Source organism: Homo sapiens, chromosome 2 (genome assembly GCF_000001405.40).
Source record: "Homo sapiens chromosome 2, GRCh38.p14 Primary Assembly".
Classification (NCBI taxonomy): Eukaryota; Metazoa; Chordata; class Mammalia; order Primates; family Hominidae; genus Homo; species Homo sapiens.
Window position 1 is genome coordinate 212232107 of NC_000002.12, and position 26351 is coordinate 212258457.

General features: G+C 34.9%; 1 protein-coding gene across 10 annotated transcripts in view; it reads right to left on the bottom strand.

The window, feature by feature from the left end:
• The window catches only part of ERBB4 (erb-b2 receptor tyrosine kinase 4), a 1163086-nt gene that overhangs the window by 856390 nt on the left and 280345 nt on the right, over positions 1-26351 (bottom strand). The window lies entirely within an intron of this gene.

The window sequence follows — 26351 nt, forward strand, 5'->3', positions numbered from 1 at the left end:
TGGGTTTGATAATAATAGTACTTTTTTTCTCAAGGGCTGTTATTATAATACAATAAATTAACATATTTATCAATGAGTTAATATATGTTGTTTTTATATGTTATAAAGAAACATTATGAAGACTACATAAGTGTTTCATAATGCTTAAATATTCTAACCTTAATGGGAAACTCAGTGTTTCCTGCTCTTTGATTCCATTTTCAAAGAAGAAATGCTGTTAAATAAAGGCTTTGAAGGAAAACAATAAATCTACTTAAGTAGATATAAGAGTTTTCAGGGGAGTAAGTAAAGATTTTACTTTTTACTATTATTATTATTTTGAGACAGAGTCTTGCTCTGTAACCCAGGCTGGAGTGCAGTAGCATGATCTCAGCTCACCACAACCTCTGTCTCCTGTGTTCAAGCGATTTTCCTGCCTCTGCCTTCTGAGTAACTGGGACTACAGGCGCCTGCCACCACGCCTGGCTAACTTTTTATATTTTTAGTAGAGACGGGGTTTCACCGTGTTAGCCAGGATGGTCTCCATCTCCTGACCTCATGATCCGCCTGCCTCGGCTTCCCAAAGTGCTGGGATTACAGGCGTGAGCCACCACACCCGGCCGGGAGTAAGTAAAGATTCTAAATGGAAGTGAACAGAATCTCACTTTTCTTTCTCTTCTACTCACATAGATAGCATGGTAACATGAGACATAGCAGTGCCTCCCTTTGGGAATTGTCCCCATCCTTAGAAGACCAAGAAGAAAACAGGGTAAGATCCCTGAAGTATCATTTGTCCCTTGCGCTACAGAGATTTTTAATGCAATTATTAAAATAAAATTCAAAAGCAACAAAAGTTAAAAAGAAATACTTACTGTAAATTCTAGACAGAATTGGAAGAGATCTTCAGGGCAATACTTATTCCTGAATGCATTGAAAAGTCCACAAATATTATAAGAGATCAGAAGAAGATACAAGTTGGGTAGGTCCAAAAGAGATTGGAATATTCAGGACATGCTATTGGATTCCTTTTTTAAATCACTATTTTTGAGATCCACTTTTAAGAATAATATTAATAATGATATAATGACCATGCTTTACACCTGTAGAATGTACTTTCTAGCAAAATATTTTACAAAGAAAATAGGGTTGAGAGAGTTTCACTTCAGGGAAATTCATAAATCTTGAAATCCACTCTAACCCCACTCATTTAGGAGACCAAGACTTATGTGGTGAGGTAGGTAGGAGCAAAATTTCATTTGAAATAACTATATATGTATATATTTGAAAGCTTTCCTATAACACTTATAAAGCTCATTCTAAGTTATTTTTCATACTATTTTCAAAATTTTAATTCCTGAAATGATTACGTTAGCCTCCTTAATGGATATGTTTTTACTGAGTATTATGGAAAGGCAAATATAACCAGTAAGTTGATATTAAGAAACATAAGGATCTGAGTTCTAAAATAACACCTTAAACATGCCGATTAGACAGATTTATCATTATCACACGTTTATATTTACTTTTATTAAACACTCAATTTCTGTTGACTTCTTTTTAAAATTTTGTTAGAAAGTAATTCACATAAGAGAATCTCATTGAGATGCAGCCTCTTGTGTTCTATAATATGTTGGTTTTATATTCCCTTTTAATTTTATAGCAGGTTTGGCCAAATTATGAGCAAGTCAAATAATTTGACCAAAGCCAAGTTGAGTTGGTAATTCTGTCTACTTACACTTTTGTGCATGTATTTATCTTATTTGGGAGTTTGCTTCTTTCTACATTTGACTTTTCATTTGTGATTAAAAGTTATCCAGAGTTCTGTCCTAAATTAACAGTATTTCTCTAGATGTTTTTGTATATGTCTCTTTGCATTATTTATTATTATTATTATTATTATTATTATTATTATTATTATGCTTTAAGTCTTGGGATACATGTGCAGAACGCACAGGTTTGTTACATAGGTATACACATGCCATGGTTTGCTGCACTCATCAACCCATCACCTACATTAGGTATTTCTTCTAATGCCATCCCTCCCCTAGCCCCTCAACCTCTGACAGGCCCTGTTGTGTGATGTTTCCCTCCCTGTGTCCATGTGTTCTTATTGTTCAATTCCCAATTATGAGTGAGAACATGCAGTGTTGGGTTTTCTGTTCCTGTGTTAGTTTGCTGAGAATGATGGTTTCCAGTATCATCCATGTCCCTGCAAAGGACATGAACTCATCCTTTTTTATGGCTGCATAGTATTCCATGGTGTATATGTGTCACCTTTTCTTTATCCAGTCTAACATTGATGGGCATTTGGGTTGGTTTCATGTCTTTGCTATTGTGAAAAGTGCTGCAATAAACATATATGTGCATGTGTCTTTATAATAGAATGATTTATAATCCTTTGGGTATATGCCCAGTAATGGGATTGCTGGGTCAAATGGTATTTCTGGTTCTAGATCCTTAAGGAATTGCCACATTGACTTCCAAAATGGTTGAACTAATTACACTCCCACCAACAGCGTAAAAGCGTTCGTATTTGTCCACATCCTCTCCAGCATCTGTTGTTTCTTGACTTTTTCATGATCGCCATTCTAACTGGCATGAGATGGTATCTCATTGTGGTTTTGACTTACATTTCTCTAATGACCAGTGATGATGAGCTTTTTTCATATTTTTGCTGGCTGCATAAATGTCTTCTTTTGAGAAATGTCTGTTCGTATCCTTTGTCCACTTTTTGATGGGTTTGTTTTTTTCCTGTAAATTTGTTTTTCTTTGTAGATTCTGGATATTAGCCCTTTGTCAGATGGATAGATTGCAACAATTTTCTCCCATTCTGTAGGTTGCCTGTTCACTCTGATGATAGTTTCCTTTGCTGTATAGAGGCTTTTTAGTTTAATTAGATTGCATTTATCAATTTTGGCTTGCGATGCCATTGGTGTTTGTTGTTTTAGTCATAAAGTCTTTACCCATGCCTATGTCCTGAATGGTATTCACTAGGTTTTCTTCTAGGGTTTTTATGGTTTTAGGCCTTACATTTAAGTCGTTAATCCATCTTGACTTAATTTTTGTATAAGGTGTAAGGAAGGGGTCCAATTTCAGTTTTCTGCATATGACTAGCCAATTTCCCCAACATCATTTATTAAATAGGGAATCCTTTCCCCATTGCTTGCTTTTATCAGGTTTGTCAAAGATCAGATGATTGTATATGTGTGGCATTATTTCTGAGGCCTATGTTCTGTTCCATTCATCTATATATCTGTTTTGGTACCAGTACCATGCTGTTTTGGTTACTGTAGCTTTGTAGTATTGCTTGAAGTCAGGTAGCATGATGCCTCCAGGTTTTTGCACAGGATCCTCTTGGCTATCCGGGCTCTTTTTTCGTTCCATATAAAATTTAAAGTAGTTGGTTTTAATTCTGTGAAGAAAGTCAATGGTAGCTTGATGGGGATGGCATTGAATCTATAAATTACTTTGGGCAGTTTGGCCATTTTCAGGATATTGATTTTTCCTATCCATGAGAATGGAATGTGTTTGCATTTGTTTGTGGCCTTTCTTATTTCCTTAAACAGTGGTTTGTAGTTCTCCTTGAAGAGTCCTTCACATCCCTTGTAAGTTGGATTCCTAGGTATTTTATTCTCTTTGTAGCAATTGTGAATGGGAGTTCACTCATGATTTGGCTCTCTCTTTGTCTATTATTGTTTTATAGGAATGCTTGTGATTTTTGCACATTGATTTTGTATCCTGAGACTTTGCTGAAGTTGCTTATCAGCTTAAGGAGATTTTGGGCTGACACGAAGGCGTTTTCTAAATATACAATCATGTAATCTGCAAACAGACATTTTGACTTCCTCTCTTCCTATTTGAATACCCTTTACTTCTTTCTCTTGCCTGATTGCCCTAGCCAGAACTTCCAGTACTATGTTGAATAGGAGTGATGAGAAAGGGCATCCTTGTCTTTTGCCGGTTTTCAAAGGGAATTCTTCCAGCTTTTGCCCATTCAGTATGATAGTGGCTGTGGGTTTGTCATAAAGAGCTCTTATTATTTTGAGACACATTCTATCAATACTAGTTTATTGAGAGTTTTTAGTATGAATGGGTGTTGAATTTTATAGGAGGCCTCTTCTGCATCTACTGCAATAATCATGTGGTTTTTGTCATTGGTTTTGTTTATGTGATGGATTATGTTTATTGATTTGCGTATGTTGAACCAGCCTTGCATCCCAGGGATGAAACCAACTTGATTGTGGTGGATAAGCTTTTTGGTGTGCTGCTGGATTCAGTTTGCCAGCATTTTATTGAGGATTTTCACATCGATGTTCATCTGGGATAGTGGCCTGAAATTTTCTTCTTTTGTGGTGTCTCTGCCAAGTTTTGGTATCAGGATGATGCTGGCCTCATAAAATCAATCAGAGAGGAGTTCCTCTTTTTCGATTGTTTGGAATAATTTCAGAAGGAATGGCACAAGCTCCTCTTAATATCTCTGGTGGAATTTAGCTCCGAATCCATCTGGTCCTGTGCCTTTTTTGGTTGGTAGGCTATTAATTACTGCCTCAATTTCAGAACTTGTTATCAGTCTATTCAGGGATACAACTTCTTCCTGGTTTAGTCTTCGGAGGGTGTATGTGTCCAGGAATTTATTCATTTCTTCTAGATTTTCTAGTTTATTAGCTTAGAGGTGTTTATAGTATTCTCTGAAGGTAGTTTGTATTTCTGTGGGATCAGTGGTGATATCTCCTTTATCAAATTTTATTGTGTCTATTTGATTCTTCTCTCTTTTCTTCTTTATTAGTCTGGCTAGCAGTCTATCTATTTTGTTAACCTTTTCAAAAAATCACCTCCTGGATTCATTGCTTTTTTGAAGGGTTTTTCATGTCTCTATCTTCTTCATTTCTGCTCTGATCTTAGTTATTTCTTGTCTTCTGCTAGCTTTTGAATTTGTTTGCTCTTGCTTCTCTAGTTCTTTTAATTGTGATGTTAGGGTGTTGATTTTAGAAATCTTTCCTGCTTTCTCCTGTCGGCATTTAGTGCTATAAATTTCCTTCTAAACACTCCTCCTTTGGAGGAGAAGAAATATTATCACTTTTGGAATTTTCAGCCTTTCTGCGCTAGTTTTTCCTCATCTTCGTGGATTTATCTACCTTTGGTCTTTGATGTTGGTGACCTTTGGATGGGGTTTTTGTGCGGACATCCTTTTTGTTGATGTTGACGCTATTCCTTTCTATTTGTTAGTTTTCCTTTTAACAGTCATGCCCCTCTGCTGCAGGTCTGCTGGAATTTGCTGGAGGTCCACTCCAGGTCTTGTTTGCCTGAGTATCACCAGTCGAGGCTACAGAACAGCAAAGATTGCTGCCTGTTCTTTCCTCTGGAAGCTTCATCCCAGAGGGCCACCTGCCAGATGCCAGTTGGAGCACTCCTGTATGAGGTGTCTGTCGACTCCTGCTGGGAGATGTGTCCCAGTCTGGAGGCACGGGGGTCAGGGACCCACTGAGGAGGCAGTCTGTCGCTTATCAGAGCTCGAATGCTATGCTGGGAGGTCTGCTGCTCTCTTCAGAGCCAGCAGGCAGGAACATTTAAGTCTGCTGAAGCTGCACCCACAGCTGCCCCTTCTCCCAGGTGCTCTGTCCCAGGGATGTGGGAGTTTATCTATAAGTCCCTGACTGTGGCTACTGCCTTTCTTTCAGAGATGTCCTGCCCAGAGAGGAGGAATCTAGAGAGGCAGCCTGGCTACATCGGCTTTGCAGGGCTGCAGAGGACTGTGCCCAGTTCGAACTTCCAAGTGGCTTTGTTTACACTGTGAGGGGAAAACCACCTACTCAAGTCTCAGTAATAGCGGACGCCCCTCCCCCAACAAAGCTCAAGTGTCCCAGGTTGACTTCAGACTGCTGTGCTGGCAGCATGAATTTCAAGCCAGTGGATTTTAGCTTGCTGGGCTCCATGGGGGTAGGATCCGCTGAGCTAGACCACTTAACTCCTGGGCTTCCGCCGCCTTTCCAGAGGAGTAAACGGTTCTGTCTTGCTGGTGTTTCAGGCACCACTGAGGTATGAAAAATAATTCCTGCAGTTAGCTGGGTGTCTGCCCAAATGGCTGCCCAGTTTTGTGCTTGAAACCCAGGGCCCTGGTGGCATAGGCACCCAAGGGAATCTCCTGTTGTTGGGTTGCGAAGACTGTAGGAAAAGCATGCATTTGGGCCGGAATGCACCATTCCTCATGGCTCAGTCCCTCATGATTTTCCTTGGCTAGGGGAGGGAGTTCCCTGACCCCATACACTGCTGTGGTGAGGCAACACCCTATCCTGCTTCAGCTCACCCTTCACTGGGCTGCAACCACTGTCTAACCAGTCCCAGTGAGATGAGCCAGGTACCTCAGTTGGAAATGCAGAAACCACCTGCCTTCTGTGTTGATCTCGCTGGAAGCTGCAGACCAGAGCTGTTCTTATGCAGCCATCTTGCTAGCCACCTGCATTATTATATAAATTTCAAACTTAAATAGTTTTTAAAATGAAGAGCTTGATTGAAAACTATATATTATATTAAAACTAAATAAATTTATAACATAGCTTTTCCAAAGAGAATATGGGGCTATATCTCACATTTTCAAATGAGTCTCAGAACCATGAGTAATAAGAAATAAAAAGATTTCATAATTTTTAAGCAACGAGTTTAAAAATTTTAATGGTAAATGATACAGCTATCAGCAAGACTTTTATGTTGCCAGCAATTTTTTTTTTGTTTTTGTTTATTTTTCAGGCTTCCTATATCTCATGTCAAATATAATGGCTTAAAGAATCTGAAATGTAATATTCGGGTCTTATGTAGAGTGCTAAGTATACTTACTCCCAAAAATCTTCATGAAAAGAATAATTGAAAGAAAACTGAATTTGGAGTCTGGGCTTCAAGTTCTGGTTCAGTTCAAACACTTATTAATTAATGGCCTTTATTAAATCCCTTAATATCACTGAGATTTAATTTCTTTTTTAAAATTTTTTAAAGAGATAGGGTCTTGCTCTGTTGCCCAGCCTGGAGGGCAGTGATTCAGTCATAGCTCACTGTAGCCGCAAACTCCTGGATGATCCTCCTGCCTCATTCTGAAGTAGATAAAACTACAGGTGCATGCCATCATGCCTGGCTATATTTTTTTATTTAAAAGGCAGGATCTTGCTATGTTGCCCAGGCTGGTCTCAAACTCCTGGGCTCAAATAATCCTCCTGTCTCAGCATCCTGAGTAGGTGAGATGACAGGCATGACCCATCACACCCAGCTAGATTTAATTTCTACACATACAAAAAGGAGTAATTGCATATGCCCTACATTTCTGACATGGTTGTGTGAATGTTACATGGTACAATTTGTAGCAAAGTGTTTTGTAGGGAGTAAATCACCATCCAAAATATTATCAAAATAGTGATTTCTACCTCAGTCGTGTTCCTAAAGCTACTCCTGAAGGTAATTTTCATCATCTTCCTCTGAACTAGTGAGAAATTTTTAATGTGGCTTCCAGTCCCACTGCTACTTATTACTCTCAAGCTATCTGACTGAGCTGAAATCTATTCAAAGTACTTCCTTGCTGGAGAGGATTGCTTTTATTCATAATCTCAGGTCTGTCTCCACTTGAAAGCACAATTCAACTTTATTAGGAGGTTTTTGTAATGATAATGTGGTATATTCCTTCAGACATAAAGAGGTATGAAATAGAAAATTATGCTAATATATAAAAACAAAAGCAAGAGAAAGACAAGAATGTTTTTATCCTGTCAGAACTCTAATCCTAAAGGAATTAAATAACAAGCTTTTTAGAGGGGGAAAATCAAGTTAAATCGAAAATATTGTTATACATTAAGAGGCAAACTAATACACAAAGAAGTAAAAATGGGAAGTAGCAGGATCACCTAACAAGAGGTTCTAAAATCCAAATCTTAGATTAAAATGTGCATATTGTTACTTCTGTAGCTATGGTTAGACACCTGAGTCATTCTGAGGTGCTTATTGTGAAATCTTGTACTGATACTCGTAGCAAATTAAATGCGTCTTATTTGATCTATTTGATCTTCCATGAGGCTAGGGTAAGATTAAATAAAAAGACCATGAATGTTTGCTTTTGATGGGGTTCAGCAACACTATCCCAAAATATGGTACCTTGGCTTTTTAGAAAACCGCAGAAGCAAAAACGTCACTCTCACCTTCCCCTCACCTTTCTCCTTTGAAGCAGATCATAACACACTTATTGGAGAGGTGCCCTTCCTATTCTCTAAGGAAAAGAATATCCTTATCTCTAAAGACGAAGGGGGCAGGAGCTATGGTTCACGTCTGTAATCAAAGCACCTTGGGAAGCCGAGATGGGCGTATCACGAGACCAGCCTGACCAACATGGTGAAACCCTGTCTCCACTAAAAACACAAAGAAATTAGCCAGGCGTGGTGGTGCACACCTGTATTCCCAGCTACTCAGGAGGCTGAGGCAGGAGAATCGTTTGAACCCGGGAGGCGGAGGTTGCAGTCAGCCGAGCCGAGATCGTGCCATTGCACTCCAGTCTGGGCAACAGAGCGACACTCTGGCTCAAAAAAAAAAAAAAAAAAAAAAAAAAAAAACAGAAAAAAAAGAAAAAAGGACAGATAATTAACAGAATCAACAGGCTGTGCTAAGTTCCCCCCAGTTTATTGCCATTAGATCATATCGTTTGCCTTTCAGTAATATTTGTCCACAACTGTCCCTTCTTTATCAAACCTAAGCATAAAATACACAAGTTCACATCTTTGGGTCTTGATGTTAAAAGCCTTCCATGTCTTGCAAGACGGACATTTCTCTTATTAGTCTGCCTCTTGTTATAGGGTCCTCAACCATGGACATAGTAATGGATAAGGAAATAAATTTTTTCCTCTCCTATACTTCAAATTATCTAACCATGGAGAAAATTGGTGATGGGCATTTGAATGCTTTCTTGAAATCAGATATAAAAATGTAGATTTATTTCCAGGAAATAACTAGAAATTAAACTTATTTCCAAGTAATTAATAAAATTAAAGCATTCAGGGCTATGCATACTGCCTCATGCCTGACATTCCAGCTCTTTGGGAGGTTGAGGCAGGAGGTTCGCTTGAGCCCAGGAGGTTGAGGCTGCAGCGGGCTATGATCATGACACTGCACTCCAGATTGGGTGAGAGAGTGAGGCCCTGTCTCAAAAATAAAAAAATAAAAAAATAAAAAAAATTTTAAAACCATTCAAACAGTAGGGAAGAGAAAACCTTGGAAATGGATTCAAATCTTTATACTACATCTTTATATAACATCTATATATAACATCATCAAAATGATCTTAAATTGTATAAAGCATGTATATGAAACAGGTCCAAGATTTTATTAACTTACCCACACTATATTAAGAAACATTTAACACAGGTAATAACCACATTGTATAATTTCATCTGATTGTTAATATTAGCTATTATCTTAGAAACTAATAATAACAATGTTTCTATCCACAGAAAGATGTAACAAATTCCAGTGCATGATTCTGTTGCTTTTCCCATCATTGGCTTTGGTGTGCAATATTTTTCCTTGGTAATTATTTTAGTTGAGTATTTTCAATATTTGCGACCATATCTTTTAGTTATTTGACATACTGTCTAAAATCAGTAATTTTATTGCTTTGGTAAATCTACCTATTATTTCTATTTTCCATTTAAAACCTCAACAAAGTAAGTGTTTGTATGGCCTAGAGCAACTTAATCTTATTTTCATCATGTTTCTATTTAATGTGTATATGTATTTTCATGTGCCATGTGAATTGATTCAACATATTAATAACAAGATGATCTAAATTTATTATATAAGTAATAAAGGCTAAACATTTATCAACACAAATGAGTCCACTAGAAATAGGAGTCATAATTTGATGAATGAAAAAAAATTCAAATATGATTTTTAAGCCATAAACATTTTTATACTAGGACATTTTATATGCTATAGATTAAAATATGAATAATCATCATCATATTGGTTTTACATTTCCAAGTTAAACAAACCTCAATCTCAACATAACAAGATGTTTAGCCTAAAACCTTACAATTTTATATACCTGATTTAAATCAGATTCAAGTAGGCAATTTTTTCCAATTATATTAAGGAAAACATTCCTCTTGTTAAAGAAGAGAAAGCATTAATATTTAAAAGACATAGAATATTTTATTGATTTGATCAAGTAGTTCCGAGTCCTAGTTATAATTTTAAAATATCTTAGTAACATTTTATTAAAATTCACCTAGCATAGACATATGAAACTAATTGATACTATATTTTATTAAAACATGTACAACTTTACACAGTCCCTATGAAAATAACTTTAGAGTCATAAAGATAATAATGGTAATTATAATAAACAATCTCTCATCTCAAGAAAATAGTTTGCTTTAAACCCATCAAGATCATTAGCCCATAAACTTGATCTTATTGGTAGAAATTTCCAATGAGAGGTGAAAATGTAGCTTAATATTAAGCAGGGAAAAATAAGTGAAAGTGTATTGATAAGTTTTGTCAATTTAAAATAACACAGAGATAATCCTTATTCAGTTATAGCATGTTACCATGAGTGAAAAAACAAAAAAAAAATACACTGAATTCTCAAATTTGTATTAAAGGTGGCACAGCAGGTTGTAAATTTTAACATAAGCTGGTACTGCATGTTTTGTTTTTTAGCATTTAAATTGTGGCACTACAATTTGGAAGCTGTGCAGCTTGTTACTCCAAGACAAATCTCACCTAAGAGGATATGGCAGCCTTCCACACTGTGGTCTGATTGCATTAGACCAAGTACGGCTAAAGAAAGAAATATTTTGACAGGGGAGATTGCACTTGAACACATCAAAGTGTCAGTTCAGATATGTGGCATCTGAAAAGCACCCTCCCCTTTTCCCCATTGCATGAAATTTGCCACCTCTCATTGTCTCTTCCAGATGGTGTACTGAGTTCTCTTCAGCTTTATTCCTAGAGAGCTCAAGTTGACATCAATCTGTTATGCCATTTTCTTGTAATACTAATGTGGCTTATTTATCAATGCCAATTAATCAATGGCACAGAACGGGTTCTTCCTTAGCAGCTAATGTTGTTTCATTTTTTTAATATTCAAAAAAAATTTTAAGGGCAGCGACCAGATTGGGAAGCCACGCATCTGGCAGACTGTGGCCACTTAGGAGGCATTCAACTGATGTAAAGATGAAGCCATTTATTTCAAAATATGATTAAGAAGCATATTGGGAGGTTATTATTTCTAGCAGAAGGGTGAGAGTAATTCTGTGAGATAAGAAGAAATTTAATTGTTTTGTAATAACAAATCATGTCTGTCTTCATGACCTTGTATCACCATATAAAGAAAAAGAAAAGCCTATCATATCTGTAAATTTTTAGCTTTTTATTAATCTTACTGCAGCATCACTGCACAAAAGATATAAAGAAGTCCCCACATCTACTACAGTTATACTTTATCACTGTGATCTTCTTTTTTTCAGAGTAAATATACTGTAGGATAGGACTTATATAATAAGAGATACCCAAAATGTTATAATATTTTCAGGCAATCTAGATTACTGTAATAGTTGCTCTGAATTTCAGTTCTGGGGGTCATATCCCAATCACCTACTTTGTGGGCCCTAGAATTAGGGCAAAAATTACATAAGATATCAAATGATGCCACCATCGATGGAATAATAGCTATTGAGCCAGATTCCCCAATTCAAACAAGAAAAAGAAGAAGAAAAAATTACTATTTAGCATCAGTAATTTGGATCTAATAAACAATTATAAAAATGATCTTAATGATCCCTAGTTCCTTCAAGTAGCTTATCAACCTCATTATAGTTGTATGAGGAAAGGTGTACTTTGAAAACATTAGAATGGAATATGGTATTCAAGTTAATTTAGTGTAAGCATTCTAAAATCAATATTTTGTACTATCTACTTAATATTGATTATGTACACGATCTTCTAGGGGAGGTCCTAGCAGTGTAAAAACCTTACGGTTTCAACAATATGATAAAGAAAATATGAGAGAAAGAGAGACTGGTATAATTCATTAATAATGAATAATGGGCATATTAACAAAAATAATTTTTCATGATACATAGACATTTATGAGGTATGTGGAAGAAAATAAATAATGAAATCATTTTTTTTCCATTGTAAATCAACCTCATAAGTCCATCCTTTTTACCCCTGACTTCCAAAGGCAACACGGAGGAAGTCTAGCCAAAAGACTGTTAGTTTTACTCTAGAATTTGACACAAAATGAAATTCACGGGTCATGACAGGAGCATTCTGACAAGACATACAACTGTGATCTTGCCTTTGAAAAACTCTGCAAGGCAGAATTTGAGATCAGAATTAACTAAAAATGTTAAAAAGTTGGGGAATGGGCATTGAGAAAGTAATTTCTGCTTTACAACAACCATGCCCATCTTAACCTGTTTATATTTTCGAGCACTTATATAAAGAGAGACGTCTAGGAGAAAATATATTTCTCTAAACCTTCTATTTCACCATATGTTTTATTTGACCCATAAACTTTCCCTTTCTCAAACTTTATCATTTCCCTCATGATTTGCCATTCCTCTCACCTTGCACCAAAGCAAAGAAAATATCTTTTCAGATTTTATCTATCTTCTACAGTCTGGTTTAACTTTCAATTCTTCCAAAACCTTGCCAGAGAATCCCAATGATCTCATCCCACTTTCTAAATATGTGCCTTGTTTCCTTCCTCTATAATAATTAATATGTTCTAGCTGACATTAATTAAGCACTTACCACGTGCCAGACACACATTCTTACAAGTGATTTACATGTATTTCCTCATTTAATCCTCACAACAACCCAATGAAGTTGGGTTACTATCATCTCCCTTTTATAGATGTTAAGGGAGTTTTCCAATGTTATACAAGTGCAGAGCCAGGATTTGAATCACAGTTATTTTATTGTAGAACCATAAAAAAACTCTCAGAAGTCTATAAATTATTTCAGTAAAACTGTGCTTTAAAAACAGTGTGTATATTATCTTTTCAAAGTAACATTTTCCTGATTATTAAGGAAACACACACTTATCATAGAAAATTTGAAAACATCTGTAAAAAGAGTTGAAAAAAAAAGTATTTTATAAATCCTCCTCCTGACTAGTATTAGGTCAGAGTATTTTTTGGGTGTATTTTGAATGTGGATGTATATGTGCCAAAAGCTTTGTAAAATATTGATCACATTGAATATATAAACTGGTTTTCTACATTTCCTGTTACTATCTCATGAAAATTTTCCTTATGCTTGAATAGTTTTGAAAAATAATTTTGATAATCGAATGGAAGCTATCCTCCTATAATGGTAAGTGAGTAACTCAAACAGTTCTCTATGTGGTTGTCATATATTATTAATAACAAAAGGTTATATCAGATATTGACGTTAATATTATTCATATTGTCAGTGAAATCTTCTTGCCAACACTGGGATGAAACTGTAGAGAAGGTTTAATTCTACTGTAAAAGGTGAAATTATATCACAGAATCACAAATGATTTTCCCATTATGGAAAAACATCCTGAGAATGTCACGAAGGCCTGATATCAACTGCTGTTTCCAAGAGTTTAGAAAACAACTGTCAATGTTCCTATCCAGAGAGAAATCTGGATTGTGCTGCCAATCTTATAACCTGGCCCTCACCTTGCTTACAGCGGCTTGTCAAGGAAAGAGAAAAATCCCAAAAGAGCCCTTTGCTCTTTTTCTTGTGCTCTCTGAGATACTCCCCTTTCCTTCTCACTATTTACAAAAGGGAGATGGGAGAAAAATTCAGGGATAATGTATTTTAAATGATTTCTATGGCTAAGTTAAATGTTGTGGGGGGTGTAATTTTCAAAGGATGTAGGCATCCTGAGTCAACAGGCTTTGCATCTGCCAGTGTTCCTTTGAAAACCTCAGGAGAGTCTTTAAAAGCAAATAGATGATCCTCTATGGGAGCCGGCTTAGATATGTGCTGTCTCCAAGAGCTCTGTAAATGTAGATTAACTGACCTCTCTGGGTCCTTCTCTTAATCCCATGCTCTGAATATGGAAATGACAGTTCACGTGTATCTCCAATGCAACAGTCAAATAAATTTAACTTAAAGGAATTAATTTATGCTAATAAGACTTTCAGCAAAGATGAGAACTGTAAATTGCTTTGTTTTAAAAGCTTGAATTAATTGGATTAATATTTCATTTTAAGCAGCTTGAATACGGCCACATGACTAATAAATGTGCATGAGGTAAAATCTATTCACTGAGTGTACTATTCCTTCTCAAAAAATAACTAGCATGTTATCTACATTTTAATAACGGAAATCAACATTGCATTCCATTTATTTATTCAACAAATATGTATTGAATATAATTAAATGAAAAAGCTCTGTTGAGTTTGCAGGAGATGAGAAAATGAATATGATGTAATCAAGTAGCTTACAAGTTAGTGCAAGAATATACACAAAATACAAGTTAGAAAGAGATGTCATGAAAGATGTAGCTTAAAAATAAGTGGTGTGCAGAAGATGAGAAATAATTGACAGCTCTAGAACCAGAAAGGGCCTTATGAAGAAAGTAATATTCCAGCTCTGTCTTGAAGGGAATTAGAAACGTGATGCTGAGGAATAAGTACTCAAGAAGAGAAAAAAATAATAGGAAGAAAGGCACCAGGGAAGGAAATCTTTAGTGTAAATATAGACAGCAGCACAGCTTCTTTACTTCCTATGTGACTAAATTTCTTCAGGTGCACAGTAAGTTCTCCCAGTATTTACCATCTAAGTTATTTCCTGAATTTCATTCAGTGTTTTTGGGAATGCCTTATGTCTCAGTTTCCTCAACTGAAAGAAACCTATAGGATTAGATGATTTACAAGTTCTTTCTGGTTCAAATCTCTGAAAATGTGAGTCATTCAAAAATCATGTTGATTAAATTGATAACCAAATACTTAAATAATTTTAGTATCAATAAATTATAGGAAATAAAATTATTTACCAAGAGAAGGCAAAATAAAGTGATAGTTTGAGAAAAGGCAAAATAGAGAATTATTGTGTCATTGCTGTTCATTTAAATTCTGAAGAGATATGGATGCCTTATTGTATCTTCCAATTAGTATCTGATATTTACCACAACCTATGATTGGGACCTGAACTAAAGCATCTAAGTAGATATAATTCTTCTGTAGAAAACATTTAGAATTGCACCTTTATGCCCTCATCTATTACCTCTAGTGGAATGTTATTTGTGTTCCCTTTTCAAAAAAAATTACTGCTTTATGAGTAAACTATTAATATTTCAAAACTATTTCTAAAGTTTTCCCCCTGATATTTGGGGTTAAGAGATCTGTGGCTGAAAATTTCTAATTAATGTTGTCATGATTTCCAGCATATTTTTATTTAGAAATATAAGTTTGTGTGGTAAAATTATTAGAATTGGTTGAAAATATTTGATGTATCTACTTGCAGGAGCCTTCAACATACATTCAAAAATTTGCTTGTCTAGAAAGCAATTAAAACCAAAAAACTAGTTTGTTTTCTCATTTAATATTTTATCATAGTACTTTAGAAATAATGGTGTATTAGGCCGGGAGCGGTGGCTCATGCTTGTAATCTCAGCACTCTGGGAGGCCGAGGCAGACAGATCGCTTGAGGTCAGGAGTTTGAGACCTGCCTGGGCAACATGGTGAAACCCCATCTCTGCTGAAAATACAAAAATTAGCTGGGCATGTTGGCGGGAGCCTGTAATCCCAGCTACTAAGGAGGCTGAGACATGAGAATCACTTGAACCTGGGAAGCAGAGGCCGCAGTGAGCCGAGATCACACCACTGCACACCAGCCTGAGTGACAGAGTTAGGCCTCATCTCAAAAATAAAAAATAAATAAAAATTAATGGTGTTTTAAAGCAAATTATCTACAGTGATTATCATTGTGGTTTGAGTTTAAGAAATACTGGAGATGTTAATTTAAAATGTTTATAGTATACACTTCTGCATGGCTTGAATTTTGTTTTTACTTTTGTGATTAAAAAATCAATAAAATTAATAATTAAAATAATTTAAAATATAGATCAACAATTTAATGAAAGAAATATGTGTTTAGTGCCTTCATAATCATCAAAATTAAAGAATTTACTTGAAGACTTTTTGAGCCTATGCCAAATTTTTGCGTTTACATACATGATCATTTTAAGGTTCCATGTGGTAGAGCTTTATATGCACCTAATATGCCTTTTCCTTAATTTGGGCTTTGCTAAACACAACTTTTTGTGTCCTCTGACAACAGGTAAGTGTTCTTGTCTAGAAAGAGTATATACTTGGTTTATGGCATGGCTATAATAAACGGCTGAGTTCTATACTGTCAATGATAAAACTTGGTCTCACATCAATATAATGGCCATGCTGTATATGATTCTTAACTGTGATATACTTTAACAAAGGCATCTACCTATGCTGCCTCAAATTAAGAAGTTTTCCCAAGTCCAGACTACAATCTTGGAGTTATCCTACCTAGGTCACCACAAATTTAATCCGCCACGTTAAGAGAAAATTTAAGATGTGAGAAAAATAAGTAAGATATATGTAGAAAGGTACAGGTACTCAGCATTGTCATCAAAATTAGCTAGATTAGTACTAAACGGTTGCTCAAAATGTCAACTATTTCAGCTTTAGATTGGCTGACTGCTGCTGATTCTTAGGAAAAAAAAAACAGGTTTATTGATACATGATTCTTAGTAAACATCCTTAGATGACTGAGTTTCTTTTTGCTCACCAACAGGAGCTATAGTATCTGAAGCCACCTATTAAATACATTTCTATTTTCTCCTGAATCTTTTGGTCATATTTATCTTTTTCTTCAAAGTAAAATGGACTATGCATATAATTTTGGGAGTGGGGTATTCCATTACATAGTCAAATGCCTGATTTCTACAATGTAATTATATCGTTTCTAATTTATATTTGGGGTTATTTTAACAGGAACTAGACCAGCAACAGACCTTCATTCAACTTGCTATTAGCACTCACTGACTTGGCTTATTGTTTGCGATGAAGCATAGTAATTAGGTAAATTCACTGTATTCCTGATAATCATCAAAATATTGGTGGGCTTTGATTTCCTGCTCAGAAAAGCAAGGAAGGTACAAATCTCCCACATATGACTAAGGAAATTGTGTAAACTGTATTATTTATTCATACATATATATGTATGTATATGTGTGTATGTTTTTATATAATAATGGAGAATGGAATGAAATTTAAAATGTAGGAAGACTCTAGATAATTAAATTTATATAGTAAAAGATATTGTGACAATCAAAAGGAAAAATATCATTCATGATATAGAAAAGATAGGTTGAAACATACAATTAGCTAGAGGGAAAAGCAAGCAGTTTTTGTCTATCTTTTTAGCTTCATGTCATTTTAGTGGGAGAACAGTAAGGCAATAAACTAAACTGACGACATTGCAAGGGAGAAAAGTTTATTAAAAACACCATAGAATTAAAACAAGGATGTTTTAAACAGAGAAAAGTTACTGAGCTGCTGAAAGCTGCTGCCCCCACCTGGGCATTAAACAACAAGAACTTCACAACTTAACAGCTTTCTCTATATTTGTAAAATTCTAGGATTTCTCATTTATGGGTTAAGCCACAAACTAATAGGAAGCAAACATTGTATTATGCTTGTCAACCAATATACAAGCTGACCTCAGAAACACTGCATATGAAAAGAAATCAGCCGACATTTTTTCTTATTTATGGCAAATCAAATACTGACTTATGTATATGAATATAGTAAAGAAGCTTGACAATGTCAAAGAGCTTATATGCAATTGGCAAGGGAACCAAAATCAGTTGCACGATGTAAAGGTTTGAGTTGTAGATACCCACCTGATACCGTGTATATGTATTGCAAGATAAATATGCATACCATTATCAATTTAATCATTGAACCTAAATCTAACTTCTGTTCATACAATAACTAATTAAATTTATTGGGGCTTAATTCTTTCAACATCACTACTTTTAAGAAAAATACTTTAGATGTTTCCTCCTTTGTTGTATCAGCTGTAATGTCTCTAAGCTTTAGTTTTCTTTTTATTTTCATGTCTCACAATTATATTTGTTATGGGTTTCTATTTCATTCATTGCTACCTGCTGACATTTGTCTCAGCTGTGAATGTTTTTACCTATGAAAGATAATCTCCTTAAACATCTATTAATTTACACTTCCAACTGGGTGTGGAGTTTCCAACCTTATGTAATTGTGAGCAAATCTGTAAATTAGCACTAAGACAACTGTTACAAGTATAAGGTGTTTGAAATTTCTCTCAATGACTTTTTATGGTAGTTTTGGCTGCTCAGGAACCTCCTTATTTGCTTCCTCATTTATACTCTGTTCTAGATAAATGAGATTGCGAGATATTTAACTTCATTGAGTAATGAAATTATATTTTAAATTTGGGACACAGGATTAATAACAGGAAACATCAGACAAATGTAAAATGATACCATCTGAATTGATAATATTCCAATAACATTCAATCTAAATTCATGCATTCACTTATTCTTCCATGTTAGACAAACAATTTTTGAATGAATGAATTCAAACATCTTCCCTTCACGTTCTAGGCAGACCACACAGAGCCCTGTTGTTTTCTGTTTTTAGTCAAAAATAAATAAATAAATAAGATTATGGTGAAAAAAAACCATGCTATCAGTTCACAAGGGTAAAAAGTAAAAGAGGAAAAGCCCTGCTCCCCTGTTTTCTTATTTCCATTTGTCAAAATTAAATACTACTAACACAGTTATTTTTAAAAAGATTTTCACAAATAAATAGTGGTGTGAATTTCTGATATTGACTGAGAGATTTTGCAACAAGGGGAAGTTTTAAAACTCTGGCACACAATTATGGAGTTAGTTTGTTTATCAAATAGTCTAGGGCTGGCAATAGCAACTAAGCTTCAAGTTGATGGGTACAAAATTATTTCAAATTTTCTGAGTTGAAAACTTGTTATTCTATTGAGGATATACTTGACTCAATCTAAAATGTCTTTACATCCTGAATTCCAGTAAGACACAAAATTTCTATTAGGAAGAATTATATATACAGTTTGCTTTTTATTTACAAAAATGCTCTTATTAGAAGCTTATTGAAAACTGCCATATTAGTCTAAGAAGTTAAAAGCATCCAGCATGTATACATTCATTTATTTATTCATTTATTTGATAAACATTTATTCATATTTAATATGCAGCAGGCATCATTCTAGGCACTTGAAAAACAGCAGGGAATAAACTAAAAACATAATCCCTGTCCTCAAGTACCTCATATCGTAGTGAGAAGAGAAAACAGACACGATAGGTAAAACATAACATGCTTTTGACAGTAGTAAGGAATAAGGAAAAAATAAAAAGCAAAAATGAGGATCAGTAGCTTTCAGGAACTTACAAGTTTTGATTGGAGGACTTTTGGGAAACTAGATGAAGAAAGTGAGAGAGGAAGCCATGCAGACATATGACAGAAAACTATACAGGCAAAAGGAATAGCAAATGCAGATATCCTGAGGTAGGGGTGTGCCCAATATATTTTAGGTATTTTTTAAAAAAAAGGTTAATACTTCAGAAGAAAAGCAAGCAAGGGTGAAATGGTAGGAAATGAATTTAGAAAGGTGACAGGTGGTCAGACCATGTAGTTATTTGAAGATCCATTGCTGGCTGTTAGTCAAAAAGATATAGGAAGCCATGGGAAGTTAACCACTAACCAGAGGAGTGCCATGGTCTGATTTACATTTTAGCACTCTAGCTTTTATACTGACAATGGATCACAAGGGTAAAAACAAGACTAGACAGAAAGCCACTGCAAAAATCCAAGCAAGTGAGAAGGGTAGCTTTTACAAGGGTAATGACAATGGAGGTGTTGAAATGTGGTTGGATTCTAGATATATTTTTAAAGTAGAACCTCAAAATGTTTGGCATGTGGATAAGGGCAGTGATGAGAAAAGGTCAAAGATACGTTCCAGGTGTCTGACTTAAGCAACTAAAAGAATCTATTTGCAATTTACTGCGATGACATATAAATTTGAGGGGTCATTTATATACAGCATTAAATAAATCACGACGATGGATATGACTGTAGATAGAAAAAAGGTATCCTAGAATTAATCCCTGTGGGGAACTCCAACATTTAGAGGTAGAGGAGGTAAACACAAATGAATGAAAGAGATTAAGAAGAGCAGAAAGGTAGGAGGAATTTTGGTGTCATGAAAGCCATGTTAAGAAAGTGTTTCAAAAAGAAGAGAATGACCGTCTGTGTCAAATGCTGCTGATAGATCAACGAAGACTAAAACTAAAATGTAAGCATGCCATATGAAGGTCATTTTGGACTTTGGTAAGAGTCATTTTAGTAAAATGGTAAGGTCCACTGGCTGACTGGAGTGATTTCAAGAAAAGATGGAGGAGCAAAATTAGAGATAGTGAAATTCAGCTAGACTTCTAAGACTTGTTTTTTCTTGGAAAGGAAAGAAATCAGGATGTAGCCAGGGGAAAAATTGGGGTCCAAAGAAAGTTTTTAAAATACTGGATAAATATCATCCTTTTATGCTGATGATCATAGAGGAAAGAATAATGAGACTTTTAGACAGACAGGTCATCTATAATAAAAAGAGAGAAGATAGCATATAGAGTCACAGATGCTATCACTTACACATGTAGGTGTGATGGCAGAAGCTTCTATTCCAATGCAGACATATGTATTGTAAAAATTAAAAGTTGAAAAGTGACACATATCTTTAGAGTATCATCTACAGACATTAGATGCTCAGACACATAATCAAAAGATACATTACAATGAGTGAGCATCTTGTGGGAAAATTTGCATAACATCATTTGCATTTCTTCTAATATTCATGACAGTTTGACATCTACATCCTATGTTTACATTGAGAAAAGTCGTCAGTTATATATTACATGCTTCATTAGCTTACTTTTCTTAGAATCAAATGTCTGTAGATTTATTCTATTAAATGTGAATAAACATCATGAGTAGCAGTCGCCAAAGTGATACCACATAATCTGTAATCGTTCTGGGGCTCCTTGACTAACATGTTCAATTAAAAGTTGTTACAAATTTCCTGGTAACCCTCTTATTTTGTATATGAATTTAACAAAGCAATAAAAGTGAGATGGGATTGAAGCTGTAACTACAAATAAAAATTAAATATTTAATAATGCTGAAGTAAATGAAAATTGAGTGAACATCTCAGGTAGTTATTATATGACTACATTTTGGTGCATTTTTCTTGATCTTATCAGTTTTCTCATTACTTTTTCCATTACATTAAAAAAACCTATAATAAGTAAATTTGCTTCTCTTCTTCATCAAAACCAGTTCTTCTCAGAATTTCATGTTCATAGGAATCACTTAAGATCTTGTTAAAATGTAGGTTCTGATTCCGTAGTCTGGAGTGGGGCCCATACTTTTGCATTTCTAACTAGATTTCAGGTTTTGCCCATGCAGCTGGTTAGCAGAACACACTTGGAAAACAAGGGTCTAAACCACTCTGTTCTTGGCATTTGTGCAGAGGTTGAGATAAATTAATCATTTCATGCCTAATTTTTGGGTTGCCGTTAAAAAGTTAGTTAAGTAGTTAAGTAAAGTCATATGCCAGTTAATGAAGGGGATATGTTCTGAAAAATGTATCGTTAGGCATTTTGGTCACTGTGGGAACATCACAGAGTGTATTTACACAAGTCCACATGGTGTAGCCTACTACACACATAGGCTATCTGGTATAACCTATCACTCCTAGCCTGCACACCTGTATAGTATGTTACTGTACTGAATACTGTAGGCAATTGTAATACAATGGTATTTGTGTACCTAAATGTATCTAACTAAACACAGAAAAGGCACAGTAAAAATTCAGTATTATAATCTCAGGAGACCGCTGTGGTAGAGGTGGTCAGTCATTGACTGTTATTATGCCACACATGACTGTAAAATTTAAAAAAAAAATTAGTTGATTATCAATATGTATATTCCTAGAAGACCATATAAATAACATACAATTTTAAATCCTACTTAAAATATTATGGCCTCTAACTAAAAACAAATAAATACATTTTATAACAATTCCTCAGTCCAAACGTATTTGCTCATTATTTTATTTACCAACCCAGTGCCTAATTTCATACCAGCCCACTCACTAAATAACAAAACCAAAGGAATGAAGATTAAGTTAAAATGCGGACAGCTATGTTGAATCTGACACACTGATCACACCACAGAGGAAACAAACAACTCGAATAGTGTTATTTAAAATTGCAATCCTGTAAGTGGCAATGAACATTTTGCTATGACTATGCTGTGCTGTTTTCCCCACACCTACTCCCACTTGCCAGGTTAGACTGGCTCAATCTGCTCTACCGTGGGATCACAATCATTTGAACAAACCCCCTCAGGGCAGTAATATCCAGGCAGCCAGTGTTGTCTCAGAAGAGCTCCTGACACCATTCCCCACGAATCCGTAATTTTGTTTATGTATAGCAAAAGCATGGCATAGGAAAAAAGACAGCATGCCACTGATGGGAAAACTTCCTAACCTGCTTTCACAAAGCACTAAGATCTCTCTGAAATATTGTGAATATTCAGGATGTGCAGTGTTTATGCATTAAAAGAGGATAAGGGACATGTTGTAAAGGTCTGATTTCACAAGAGTCATTCTAGATGGCTAGTTATACAAACCACTCTTACAGTTTAAGATTTAAATAACAGATATACTGTAAATACTTTGTTATAGTGTGAGAGATACTCTCTGAGAAAGTCTAACTTTTTCAAAACATTCAGATGTCACCTAAGAGCCGAGTAAGGAGTAATTCATTCTACATTACATTATTTCACGGGTATAGTGTTATATCTTAATCCACCTTTATACACATGTGCAAACACATCTACTTATGCATCTATCCATATTATTTAGACCATCAAAGGAGGTAGAAGAGAGTTCAACATTTTATAATACTTTCATCCTTCTCGCTGTTGTGCATTAGGCTGTATACCTGAAAATCTTCATATTACTGAATACTGTACTATTAAGAGGAAAAAATAAGAATAATATTTTACCACAATGACTATGCACTATAGCAATTTTTTAAAATTTGAAAAATATATGTGTGTATATATGAAAGACAGTAAGTGTGCTGGGGGAAAGAGTCATTCAACCCTTTTTAAAGTGGCTAATTCAGCAAAATTTCATTTTCTAACTAATGTAACTCCAATTTAAAAATCCATAATATTATACTACAAGGGCACAGTTTACCTAATCTGCCAATTATGTTTGTTGTACAAAAGAGAAACCCAGGGCAAATATATAAATAAAACAATTTGTATTTTTAAGACCAAATAGTCTATCAGTTCTTGCTGTAAGAGGTACAGGTTTAGTGTTCCTTAACCAAAATGCTTGGGGCTGGAAGTACTTCAGAGCTTCAGATTTTAGGTTTTTGGTGTGTGTGTGTTTTTTTTAAATATTTGCATTATATACACTTACTGGTAGAGCATCCCTAAGCTGAAGGTTTGAAATCTGAAATGCTGCAATGACCATTTCCTTTGAATGTCACATTGGTGCTCAGAAAGTTCAGATTTCAAATTTTTGGACGTGGGATGCTAAACCTGAATTTAAAAATATATTAACTCTTTCAAATCACTGGGTAGGTGCACATAGAATACTTTGTGTCATTTTTTTAAGGGACTGGGTCTCCCTCTGTTGCCCAAGGTGGAGTGCAGTGGCATGATCATAGTTCACTGCAGCCTCGAACTCCTAGGCTCAAGGGATCCTCCCACCTCAGCCTCCTGAGTACCTGGGACTACAGAAGCATGCCACCATTCCTGGCTAAGTTTTATTTATTTATTTTTTTTTTACAAATGGGGGGGGGTCTCACTCTGTTACCCAGGTTGTTCTTGAACTCCTGGTGTCAAGCAGTCCTCCCATCTTGGCCTCCCAAAGTGCTGGGATTACAGGTATGAGCCACTGTGCTCAGGTTTGTGTTGTTTAATATAGATTACATTTATTTATTCTGCCAAAGACACCATTGATTTTTGCCATATATTTCTCATCTGATTCTCACAAGCACTTTAATAACATAGTAAATGAAAATATTGCTTTAACTAGCAATTTTTATGAACATTAATTTTTATTAACATAATATAAAGCACTAGTATTTATTATTTTTGGTTTGATGAGTCAGATAATTTGCCTTATCATCGTCATCATTTTATTATTTAAGGAATCATATCAGTTGCCTCTTGTTGGACTGTAATGAGTTAGGTCAAAAGAAAGTGAATTTGATAGTCAGAAACAAGGGACTGTAGATCTGCATTACCAAAATGGAAATGGGAAAAATAAGAAAGTTACATGCGTTCTTTTGGAAATCTCTTTCAGAGGTGGAAGGGAGGTGGTGTTATTAAACATTTATTAAGGATCTGCACATATTAAGCACTATGCTATGTGCTTTGTTTAATTTACCTAATAATGCCCTGAGATAGTTACTGTCATCCTTAAATTATAGGTAAAACAAACACAGAGGATAAGTCAGTAGCCTCGCATCTCTGGGCCAATGAGGAACAGAACCAAGACTCCAACCTGGATCTACATGATTTTAAAACCTACACATTTTTCTCAACTGGGTAAAATGAGTGAACTAATAAAGTTAGTAAATTTCCCAGATAAAATATTTTTCTTTGTCATAATCTAAGCAAATATCAAGAATATTTTAATGTTTGATGGAAGGGGACCTGTTAGAACCAGCGTTTGTGTTATTTAAATAATTTCAACATTTATTTTAGATTTAGGGGGTGCATGTGCAGGTTTGTTACATGGATGTATTGCATGATGCTGAGGTTTAGGGTACGAATGATCCCACCACCCAGGTAGTAAGCATAGTACCCAATAGGTAGTTTTCCAGCCCTCCTCCACCCAGCAGTCCCCAGTGTTTATTGTTCCCAACTTTCTGTTCAGTGTTCCCAATGTTTAGGTCCCACTTATAAGTGAGGACATGCAATATTTGAGAACCAGTATTCTAATAACTTAAATCCAAAACTTGTAGATTCCAAAAAGACTGAAACAAGTCAATTTTACTTATAATTTGACTAAAGATATATTAATAGATCAATTTTCACTATGCTTTAGGTGATATGGAATCTTAAATAAGCTTGAACTTCATGATAATGTTTTCTATGTTTTGTAATTCTGAAGTAATTAGGGTTCACTTTTTCCTAATCAAGGCCAAGATCTTTCAACAGTTAAGATAATTCTAACAAAGAATCATTAATAATCAGCAAACTAACTCTTTTGTTATCTAGTACTTCACTTATTTAATATTCAGTTTCTATTATTTTAGAAACAAAACTTCAACTCCTATCTTCAAGGTCTTTAAGTGCATTTATTTCTGTATTCCTGAAAGACAGCTTTTATCCAAGAAATAAAATTTACTAAAATGTTAATACCCTAAGCAGTAAGACCCGAAACTTTAACCACCCTGCTCAATGTTGCATAAACAATCATGGAATTGTTAAGAATTCACTCTAAATGCGATGTCACGTGTTGAACATAAAATTCAACTCTCTTAATGAAGCAAGTAAACAAACTTCTTTGCACTTTGTAATATGTATATATTATCTACTGTAGTAATCTAAGAAGAAATAGATTCAGTTCCCACTTGTAAACAGAACCTCATTAAATGCATGAATATGTGGAAGAAATGTAAAAAAAAAGCATGGTCTAATGGTTAAGTGACTGTGATTGTCAGTCAATAAAAACGGTCCCCAATCTGTCACTGACTCCAGTATTTGTCCTTGGGAAAATATCCTGACTCTTTCACAGCTCTCAATTCATCCTGTTTATAAAAGTGGTTTATGAAGTATTTTAGCATTTATAATGTGCTTAACAATATTTCAAAACCCCAGTGTATGAATTATTACTTGTGTACAAAACTATTTATAGGAATGTCAGTTTCAACATAATTAAAAATTAAATATACAGTTATAATTCCCTATTTTTAGTAAAAATTAGATTTTTAAAAAAATTTCAAGGTTCTGAATACCCTAAAAGTATTAGATAATTTCATATGCTATTTGCAAAATAATATTTTCATGCATTTTATTTGTTTTCAAAACCTCTCATTAAAGACTACTTTTTAGTTACATTAACAAAAATCAAAGAAAATAATCTGAATCTATAATGATCTTTTAAAAATTCAAACTTGGTTTACCTAAACAAAACTGTATCATAGAATTTTAACAACAATAACGAAAAATACCGTCCACTGTCTCAGTTAGAACTGCGCATCAAATGATAAACAGTTTACT